Below are 12,005 nucleotides of genomic sequence, written 5' to 3' on the forward strand. Positions count from 1 at the left end.
AGAAAATACATTATGATATTCTTTTATTTTTTTCTCAGTTCAAGTTTAATACAAACTACAAAAGATCAATGGGTTGATGCCCTCTACTGACACATCATACAAATCAGTGGCCTCCCCACAATACGACTCAGGCCATCCCTTCCAAAAGAAGAAAGGCTGGTCTCTCCACCCCCTGTAGGAAAGGCCTGCCTTGTAACACACCACAGTTCGGCTGAATCTGAAGTCTTGTATTTTACTCATGGAAAAAAAAAACCACAAAAGAGACTTTGTTCTCAGGGGTTCCCACTGCAGCCTGGCACTAAAACAGCCCAGCACTCACTCCTGCTTGGATAAATATTCTTTGCTCTTTTGGACATCAGTCTTGATAGTATCACTGCCAGGTTTCCAGCCAGCTGGGCACACTTCCCTATGTTTGTCAGTGAACTGGAAGGCCTGAACTAGTCTCAAAGTCTCATCCACAGAGCAGTCAACAGGGAGGTCATTTACAGTGATCTGCCGAAGAATACCCATATCATCAACGATAAAGAGGCCCCTGAATGAGATGCCTTCTTCAGCCTTTAAGATCCCATAATCCTGAGCAATGGTGCACTTCGGGTCTGAGGCCAAAGGAATGTTCCTGGGTCCCAGTCCTCCTTGTTTCTTAGGGGTGTGGATCCATGCCAGCTGACAGAAGTGAGAATCCACAGAAGCACCAATCACTTGGCAGTTGAATTTCTTAAATTCTTCTGTATCACTGAAAGCAATGTTCTCTGTGGGGCACACAAAAGTGAAGTCAAGCCGGTAAAAGAAGAATACAACATATTTCCTTTGTAGTCAGACAGGCTGATATCTTTAAACTGACTGTCTGGCATAATGGCTGTGGCTTTGAAGTTGGGGGCAGGGTGCCCAATTTTAGCGTTTCCTGAAGACATCTTCCTATCAGCAGTCCTGACACAAGCCTCTGAGAACAAACCACCAACACCAGGCAGGAAGAGGACGCTGTGATAGTTATTCTTAATGAAACATGAAAGCAATAATATTTTATGCTATATGACTTCCTATTTCAAATTAATTGGAACTGTTCTGTAGACACCAACAGAATCAAAAACTATTTTATATCAGTGTCAGCTCATAGAGACAGTAGATAATAGAAATATAAAGCACAATTTTTAAGGGAATTGCATATAAAAGGAGATGAGAACCAGGTCTGAAAACATTTTGTTTATTTTAGCAACTGGTGATTTTCATCCAAGATTGAAATTATATGGGTCTCATTGTTCTTTCTTCCAAAAGATAACGTTGCACCTGTCTTTTTATCATGACTAAACCACTAAATTTATCATTGGTGTGACCAAAATGCATTGATGAGTCAAACATGGGTGAGGTATTCAAAAGCCATAAGAGACTTGCACAATCATTCTAATAATCTTCCTTTTCCAGAAGCCTCAACCACCTCTTCAGCCCTGAGTGCCAGCAGTGGGCCAAAGAGTCTCTCTTGCCAGCATTAGGCTGAAGCAATGGAGTAGAGAGAACTCCAATTATTGTTCCATGATACAGGTTATTTATTCTTTTTGAGAGTCTGTCCCCCCAGAAAGTGCTTAATTGCATACCAATTAATATCTAACTGGCATTCTTCAAGGTGTGTCTATTTTATTAAAACATTTCAGTAACATAAATTACAATTGTCTATTCTTGCCTCTACATAATGGTGTTATATTTCATATCATTTTATAAGCTGATGTATTTACAGTGTTAAATTTGTAACAGCAAATTTTATTAATGTGGGGAAATACAGTTTAATTAATATACATTATTTCGTATACATTAGCATGACAATCATACCCCCTCAATGGAAATACATGAACACAGCCACAGCGCCCCCAGTTTTCAGACCCTCACGGGTTGATTTCTGTTGTTAGATGTTGCTGCTCTGTGTTCTCTATTGGACAGGTTCTTAAAAATCAGAAATGAAAAGTCCCACAATTAAAGCTAGGTTATATCACAATGTATTATTAAAAGACAGTGATCATTTTTTCTCTATAGTAATAATTTCTCAGTTTTTATTAGCCAAATTATATTGCCTTCTGAAAACTTCCAGAGAGTAAGCACAATAGAATATTTCTAGGAAAATGGGGAACTTTCATAAATACGGGCTTGGCTTCCAAGTTGAAGCCAAAGCCAATTTTATGAATTTAATTTTTGTTCTACAAGGTCATGAACTTACAGGAAAACCAAGGGCTAAATTTAAAGCAACATTGATCTTATATATGAATCTGGACGAAAACTATGCAAGGCAAGGCAGTTTATGCTGAATTAAGCTGTGTTTGCAAAATGTGATAAAAAGCACTGCCTATTTTGGAACCCATTTCAATGGGTGTGCACTCATGAGGGCTAAGTCAAATAAAAAAGTCTGCCCAAATTTATCTTGGGGTGAGGCTGTCAGATTTCACACAGCTTTCATTGCCAATAGCAAGCATTTCTCAGTCAGAGTGGACCATAAAGTTGCCATTTTTCAGAATTGAAGTTTACTCTTGAAGAAATTTAACATTAGAACAAAAAGCCAAATACCTATGTCTAAAACCAGCCCAAAGAATTAGCTGTTTCATATATACGATATATATATTACACACACATACATATGTACATGTATATGTTTATTTGTGTACGATAGAGATATATATTCTGTGTGTGTATATATATATGTGTGTATAAATATATAAAGAGTGAGAGAGCCAGAAAGAGATAGGCAAGAGGGAGATACACACACACACACACACACACACACACACACACACATCACTGGTTAATTATATTTGAAGACAATAAAAGGAAAAAAGTTTATAGTATTTTTTCTAGTAATATTGAGGACCAAGCCAGGCCTTTTCAGGTACATTATCTTATGAATCATACAACAATTATATGAAATAGCTATATCCTTTTATATAGCCTTTTTTTTTTTTTTAAATCGAAGACAGAGAATTTCAGGGACTTTCACAAGAAACACAGCAAAGCTGGGTTGTAAAATAAGGTACCACAACTCCAGATCCTTTCTTCTAGCTTTTAACTTTTTATAAGTCAGTGATTCTGCTCCTTAACTAAGAGGAATGGAATTATGAAAATACCAGCCTAGGCCAAGTATGCATGTTTTTGATCCACTTTAAATGAGTTAGCATTTGAATAGAACACAGGACAAAGCTTAAGGAACAAATAAACAGACAAGACGATAGTGTATATTAAAAATTCAATCAAGATACTACATAAACATTTAAAAGCAAATACCTAGGGGGAAGAACTGTGCAGAAAAGAAAAACTGAGGTATGGAAGAGACGGGCTAGACTGCTCTGTGGAAAATGTGATGATTTTGTTAAGTTAAATTTATGGCTAGTGCAGATTTAAAGAAAGAGAAATAAACAGAATAACAGCTTAATGTTACATTCGAGTAGAATTCAAGTTATCCTGTAACAATTTTAATTTAAATATAATATGCCAACCTCCACCTTTAAAGCAAAATAAAAGCATACGTAATGTCCCATTTTTCCACATAATGAAATTGTGTTCCATTATGTCACCAAATGGTTATTATGAGCCATATACATTTTACTGAAAAATAATCTGCACCTGAAAAAGGTAAAGTAGAATTTAAGGGGCTTAATAACATTTGCAGATATGTTGATTATTGGTTCACTTAAAGTAAACCTTTGAAACCCAATATTATTTCAAAGTATAGGAAAAATGTAATAGATGCCTATTTAAAAATTCCCACATAGCTATAACCCCTAATATTTTACCAATCCAAAAGCACAAAATCTTTTGAAATTACTTGGATTTGTAAAACTATCAACTTAGAGAAGGCATGTGAATGAACCCTTAGAGAAAAATGAGTTTTAAGATGAGAGAAATTAGGGCAACATTTTCCCCAACTCCCTTATAAATGAGTCTAGTATGTTACTCATACTACATTTTAATGGGAACATATTCAATAAAAAACATATAATACTAATTTTTAAAAATATTATAAACTATATAAAACTTGCAATATAAAATATTAACTTTCTGCTTGGGTTAATTACATTTTTATAAATAAAATATAAGCTATTCATAAAAATGAGAAAAATAAGGGAAAAATGAACATAACTTATGAATAAACTTATTAGTAGGAGGATGACAAGGGCTAAAACTATTTACTCCCATGCTACTTAATATGATATTAAAGTGTATACATTTCTTGGGAAAATGCATGTGGAAACATTTCATTTAAGGTAGGAAGGTAGGAGGGACTGTGGATATTTGTCCAGGGAGTGTAAAGATTCAGCTGGTGTAGGATAAGGAGGAAAATATCTGCAGAGCTGTATTGAAACATTTGAGAAGCTATGCATGCAAGAAGAATTAGGTATTTTTCCCCTGAGCTCTAAGGCAGTGGTAATCAAACTTTAAAGTACATTTAAGTGTGATGGTTAATTTTATGTGCTAACTTGCCTGCACTGAGGGATGCCCAGATAGCTGGTAAAGCATTATTTATGAATGTGTCCACTGAGGGCCACTTTCTGACTCATAGCTAGTGCCTTCTTTCTGTGTCCTCACATAGCAAAATAGGAGAGAGGTCTCTTTCTGGCCTTTTTCATAAAGGTACTAAGCCCATTCATGAGAGCTCTGCCCCTATGGCCTAATCACCTCCTAGTGGCCCTACCTTATAATACCATCATCTTGGGGGTGAGTATTACAGCATATACATTTTGAGGGGATGTAAACATACAAACCACAGCAATAGGAATCTTCACACAAGTTGTTTACAATTTTTATTTCTGGATTCCATGCCTGGACAATCTGATTCCAAAAGTAAGAGTTGACATTTTCAAAAGCAGCATCAAAGCTTGCAATGAATATGGTTAATAAATTAGACTCTAGAAAAACCAGTGGGTTGAGGGTGTGACATTACATCCATGTATGAAAAGCAAGGAAATAATTAATTGATAGTCTATTTATAGTCCGTCAGTCTGACAGTCTATTCATTTCTGTTGGGGAGCAGATGCCGTACAGCCTACACACCCCCTCCCTTATTGATGATCACTTGAAGATATTCATCAACAAAAACTGAATGCTCAATTTTTTTTTTTTTTTTTTTTTTTTAGACAGAGTCTCGCTCTGTCGCCCAGGCTGGAGTGCAGTGGCGTGATCTCGCTCACTGCAAGCTCCGCCTCCCGGGTTCATGACATTCTCCTGCCTCAGCCTCCTGAGTAGCTGGGACTACACGCGCCCGCCACCACGCCCGGCTAGTTTTTTGTATTTTTAGTAGAGACGGGGTTTCACAGTGTTAGCCGGGATGGTCTCGATCCCCTGACCTCGTGATCCACCCGCCTCGGCCTCCCAAAGTGCTAGGATTACACGTGTGAGCCACCGCGCCCGCTGAATGCTCAATTTTTAAAATATATTCAACAATCAGACATTGCTCATCAAGTTCAAGTCTATTCCCCTGCCTCTCACCTGGATTATTGCAACAGCCTCCTTACTGGTGTTCCTGATTTTACCAGTGCTTCCCTGCAGTCTATGTTCAACAAAGCAAGGCAGAGATCATTCTAAAACATACGTCAGATCAAAACTGTACTCAGCTCAAACCCCCAAATTTTACTATGGTGTAGAAGGCCCCATACGTTCTACCTTTTGTGACTACCCTGACCTCATCTCCCTCTTCTCTCTACCTTCCAAGCAGACAGGCACACAGCTTCCTCACCTGACCACTTCAGTCTTTTTCTCAGGTGTTACTTTCTCAATGAGGCTTTTCCTGACCACTCTAGTCATAATTGCAATATCCTTTTCTCTGTTTTATTTTTCCCAAGTTATTTATCACATTCTACACAATGTACACCATGTATTTTGTTAATTGTTTTCTTGTGTATCACCCCACACAGAACTGCATGTTTTATGAGGGCAGAGATTTCTACCTGTTGTTTACTACAGTATCTTCATCTAGGAGATCAATAAATGTTTGCTGAATAAAAGAATAAAGAAAAACTTAATGTTGAACATGTAACTATAATACATTTTTCTGCATATCAAAAGTCCTCAAAAGCACAGCTGGGACAACTATGTTTGGTAATGGATTATTGCATTTCAGTTAAGTTCCCATGTTCTTGTAAAGGAATTTAGGAACATAGATGGATGAGACTTTATGACTTTAAAGTCCTTTCCAGGGTTAAAATTTACTCCATCTATAAGCAATTCTCCCAAACAAATTGTGGCAGAGATGACTAATTACCCACCCTCCAATCTATACTGTTCATATACACTACATGCTATTTCCCCCTTCCTCTATAGTAGTAGATTCTTTAGCTGAACACATGACCTCCTAGCTAAACACCACAATGCCCAGTTCCTAGACTGCTTTCCATTTTGATGTGAGGCATGTGAGTAGGGTCTTGAAAACAGGATGTGAGTGTGTGTGTGGCAGGGCGGGGGTGGGGGTAGGCTGTAAATTATACATAAGTAGTCCTTAAAATAAATGAACATACCAATGCAGTCCTCTTTCCCATTTTATACTGGTGTGATAAGTCATCTTATCCTCAACCATTGGCTAAAGATAACTCTTTAGGATAACACAACCACAAGATGATAGGACCCCGCCAATTCCATCAAGCTACCAAATCTGCTGCTCTGGACTGTTATAGGAGAGAGAAATAAAATAAATAAAACTCTCTTGTTTAAGCCAACGTTTTATTCTAGTAACCTAGCCTGTGTTGTAAATAATATATAGCATTTTGTTTCTTTTTTTTTTCTTTTTGAGACAGAGTCTCGCTCTGTCGCCCAGGCTGGAGTCCAATGGCGCCATCTGGGCTCAGTGCAACTTCCACCTCCCGGGTTCAAGCAATTCTCCTGCCTCAGCCTCCCGAGTAGCTGGGATTACAGGCACCTGCCACCATGCCCAGCTAATTTTGTATTTTTAGTAGAGATGGGGTTTCGCCATGTGGGCCAGGCTGGTCTGGAACTCCTGACCTCAGATGATCCATCTGCCTTGGCCTCCCAAAGTGTTGGGATTACAAGCGTGAGCCACCGCACTTGGCCAGCATTTTCATAGATAAAATAATCCTTGAAACTCTAAAAAAAAAAAATTAAAATTCCAATATAAAGGTGGTAAAATTATGGCAGTAGTTCATTGATTTATTTAGAGGTGAAGGGCGGAAATCAAAATCATGTAGAAGTAGGAACTTTAAAAATATAACTTTATTGACTATTTATTTAATAAATATCAGTCACTTTGCTGGGATTGTATATGTATATGTTATTTAGTCTTTACAATAACCTCCAAAGGTAGGTATTATTATAAATGCTTTACAGGTAAAACAGATAATGCTCAAGATGTTTAGAATTTTTTAAGGCAGCACTATAAGTAAGTGCTAGAACAAAGAGCCCAAGTCTATGAGCATTTCTCATTTCTCAGTGTCTTTCCCACTCTCTGATCTTTAGATTTAGATGGATGCTTTGCTCCAGAGGTCTTTGAGAATTTTAAATAGAAGTAGTTGATTTACCACTTGACAAATACATCCCCAGTCTTCCTTCCTTGGAACGAAGTTCTGTGGAAGCAATGTGATTCAAAACCCTGAGTAATGGGTGTAATAACTATTAAGTTGAGGGCTAATCCCCAATTTGGACTTGGATTTCCAGAGTAAGATATTTAACCTGTCTGGACCTTAACCTGTTTGTCTAGTTCCTGCTGTAAGATAACTCAAATAACTGAGTCTGCTTAAATGAGCTACAAAAGCATTGGCATTAAGTGGAATTTGGTAACCCCAGACAGAATCCCCATTCATTTGAGCAGTCTGGAGTCAAAAGCAAAATTTAAATCCAAAAAACACATACACAGTCCGGATTCAATAATTCCACAGATGTGGTTACAAAGTAGATTCAAATGTTTATGACTTTTTTTCCTGGCTAGAAAGAAGGGAATTCATTCAAGAAGTTTAACAAAAACAGCAAAGAAACTAAAGGTACAGTCTTGAGGCATTTACATATATGTATGCACATATATGCATACATATATACATATACATGTATACATATGCATGTATAACCTGGTGAATTCCCTGCACCCACATAGACTGCTGTCACCCAGCCTGCAATGAACTCTGGTGGATCATCACTGCACTGTGTGCTCAGCAGCCTTCAGACCTGAGACAACTCGACTATTTGGGACATTTATCTCTTGAATCTGGAAGCCTTCCACATTGGCAAGAGCTCAACCTTAGTCTGCTGAGAATACTAACAAAGTGTAAAAGACCTGACTTTTTAGACAGCTTTACCTGCCAACACCTTGATTTGACATCCAACACAGAGTGGAGCCTGTGGCCTTAACGTTTGGCTGGAGAAAGAATGAATACTTTTCTCGTTAAACTCTCCAATTCATCATTATGGCCCTCATGTCAAGGCAAGATTTTTCTTCCCAGCCTATTATTAAGAAAAGTGTTGCACCTGGTTTCCCTGGTTTCTCCTCCTGTCTCTCCACTTTCCTCTCCCTCCACCCTCCATAAACATGGACAAAGGTTTTTGGTCTCCTCTAGTTCATACTAGACAAGGAAATATTTGGGGACAAGCTGAGGGGACAGCTGCGCAAGAATAATGGACACCTGTGATTTTCTTCCCTTTGCTGTAAATAATTAGATAATTTGCATCATCTTCTAAAACTATTTTTACTATTTATCCAGAGTTTGGAGAATGTAACTTACTATTTCATTTCTATTCAGTGCTGTGTTTCTATTCATTCCATATTGCTACAACTTTGAGGTGTTCTTTGATTCATATGTTACATATCTATCAGACAAACCTATAGTAAATCATTTTCTGCCTCATTCATGATGTGAGCTATTATATGTGTTTACAGTAACTAAAATTTGTTAATAAGGGAAATTGCAGAGATTCTCTGACGATTAATAAAGTATGTAAGAAAGGTTTCCAGAGCTCATTTTCTCTTTAGGGATTTTGCTTTTCTTGCTTATTATATGCATGTGTGTAGGAAATGAGAAACCATTCCATGTGTACTGTTGGAAATATTACTGTTAAAGGTGAAAAAGTCTGTAGTATATGTAGCCAATGGATCAAACATTTAATGAGCATTTTTCTTGATCTTCAGCTTAAATTTTTTTTTAAGTTTCTTGATAAATATAGTAAATGTGACTGGATAGAATCCTTTCTTTAAAAAAAAGGTACACTTATGGGAAATGTCCAGATAAGATCTTAAGAATTCAAGTATTTACCATAGAGATGCATTGCAGTATATTAGAAAGAACATCCCGTGTGAGATTTAAAAAAAAAAAAAATACTACATACAAAGTGCCTTGTAGATGTCACGCTTTGCCTGACATGTATTATTACAAACTCTCTTATTTTTAAAAGGAGGCACAATCTATTTAGACATCTGCATCATATAGCTATATCTGAGTTACAAATCATCTCAAAACACAGTTGCTTAAAACACCAATTGTGTACTATTTTTCGTGAGTCTATGGGCCACCTGTGCACTTCTCCTAACCTAGTCTTGGCTCAGCTAATCTCAGCTGGGCTTGTTCATGCATCTGCATTCAACTGATAGGTTAGCCAGAGGCATGCTGATCTAGGATGGCCTGAGATGCATGACCTGACTCTGCTCCACATGATCTCACATCCTCCAGCAGCTTAGCCAAAGCTTGTTCTCATGGCAAAAGCAAGGGTCCAAGAGAGTGGGTGCAAACTTGAAAGGTCTTTGGGGCCTCAATTCAGAATGGGCATGCCATCACTTCCATCATATGCTTTGGCCTAAGGGCCTAAGGAAGTCATAAGTCCAGCCTAGATTTAAGAGGTAGAGAAACAGACTTCATCTTTGAATGGGAAGAGCTGCAAAGTTAGACTACAAATAGCTTGGATACAGGGAGAACTCATACCCTTGCTTTTGCCATGAGAACAAACATTGGCTAAGCTGCTGGAGGATGAGAGATCACGTGGAGCAGAGTCAGGTCATGCATCTCAGGCCATCCTAAATCAGCATGCCTCCAGCTAACCTATCAGTTGGATGCAAATACATTTGTTGGGTTCTTGGGTTGTAGTTGTTACCTGCCTCATAGCTACTGCTTACTTGAATGTGCCTGACAAACCCAAAATGCACAGGTTAGAGATGACACTTTTGAACTTCAACAGGAAGTATGCTCAAGTATGTCAGAGTATGGCATTGTCTTTTACATGGAAATATGTGTGTTATCTTTTACTTTCTGTTAATCCTGTCTTTAAAGTTGATGCCCACAAGTCCCCAATATCTAGACCCACAAAACAACATAAGAACAAAGAGAAGTCGATCTCCTACAGCTAACTTTATCATACAGGGGAGGCCGAGTCAAGAAACTATAATTCTTCAGGACTGTTTGGACCAAACTAATCTCCTTCAGCTTAAAAGTACTGTGGTAATGCCATTGCATATGGCTGTGTACACAGTAACCTTGCACTTAAGTGTTTAAGGATGTCTGCCGGGTCAAATGGTATTTCTAGTTCTAGATCCCTGAGGAATCGCCACACTGACTTCCACAAAGGTTGAACTAGTTTACAGTCCCACCAACAGTGTAAAAGTGTTCCTATTTCTCCACATCTTCTCCAGCACCTGTTGTTTCCTGACTTTTTAATGATTGCCATTCTAACTGGTGTGAGACAGTATCTCATTGTGGTTTTGATTTGCAATTCTCTGATGGCCAGTGATATATACCCAAAGGACTATAAATCATGCTGCTATAAAGACACATGCACACGTATGTTTATTGCAGCACTATTCACAATAGCAAGGACTTGGAACCAACCCAAATGTCCAACAATGATAGACTGGATTAAGAAAATGTGGCACATATACACCGTGGAATACTATGCAGCCATAAAAAATGATGAGTTCATGTCCTTTGTAGGGACATGGATGAAATTGGAAATCATCATTCTCAGTAAACTATCGCAAGAACAAAAAACCAAACACCGCATATTCTCACTCATAGGTGGGAGTTGAACAATGAGAACACATGGACACAGGAAGGGGAACATCACACTCTGGGGACTGTTGTGGGGTGGGGGGAGGGGGGAGGGATAGCTTTAGGAGATTTACCTAATGCTAAATGATGAGTTAATGGGTGCAGCACACCAGCATGGCACATGTAACTAACCTGCACATTGTGCACATGTACCCTAAAACTTAAAGTATAATAATAATAAAATTAAAAAAAAAAAAAAAGGATTTCTGCCCCTTCAATGTTTACCATGACAATGAGGAAGAAGAGAAAATCCATGTTGAGCCTAATGTCTTCTCTGCAGGAGTAAATCTCAAGCATACTTCCTGTTTCTAGATGTCTGTAGATTTCCATAGAAAAATAAATTGACTTGCTGAGCCAGCCAAGGATACACATTCTCAGGAACCTCACACAACAATCTTCTTCTGATCTCTTTTCCCAAAGTGTCAGCTTTGGGACACTTCGAGAGTTCTGAGCTTTTCAGCAACATCGGTAACACCATTGTAGGACCTAACATTATAGGACCATAATATTGGCCCACCATAACATTGTAAGACCTTGAAACAAAAGACTTATCTCTTTATTCATTTTTTAAAAAAAGAAGTGTTGAATGAATGCATTATGAAGTGAAATCTACACATAAGGCCATGTTATTAATGAAATAATTCTTATCAAATTATTTGGCAGGTATTTTGTTAGATTCCAAAAGAGTGAAACTTCTGCCTGGAGTTCAGTGAAGCATATCAAGATATGACCCATAAGAAATCAGTAAACCTCTGTAAATTAGACAAGAATTGTTTATTTTGTCCCATTTACTGGCAAGATGATGATTTATGGCTCTAGTTTTCACAATGTCAGTAGCATTCATGGAAGAAGAAGAGGTTTATTTTAGGACTGCAGGCAGCATTATTTTATTCCAATGTATACTGATGTAGAAAGTCCTAAATCACAATGGTAAGTAAAGCTTTGTTTCTTCACAAAAGTTAGGAACAATAAGATCTGCTAAACTCTTATGGTGCTTCATCA

At 37.8% G+C, this 12,005-nt stretch overlaps 1 non-coding gene and 1 pseudogene across 1 annotated transcript; both read right to left on the bottom strand.

Annotated features, from left to right (window-relative positions):
* Positions 28 to 106, bottom strand: SNORD137 (small nucleolar RNA, C/D box 137). Its single transcript, NR_132976.1, has one exon. It is a non-coding gene; the product is annotated as a small nucleolar RNA, C/D box 137 (small nucleolar RNA).
* On the bottom strand, positions 33 to 979 carry PRDX1P1 (peroxiredoxin 1 pseudogene 1; annotated as a pseudogene).

This window comes from Homo sapiens, chromosome 9 (assembly GCF_000001405.40).
Source record: "Homo sapiens chromosome 9, GRCh38.p14 Primary Assembly".
Classification (NCBI taxonomy): Eukaryota; Metazoa; Chordata; class Mammalia; order Primates; family Hominidae; genus Homo; species Homo sapiens.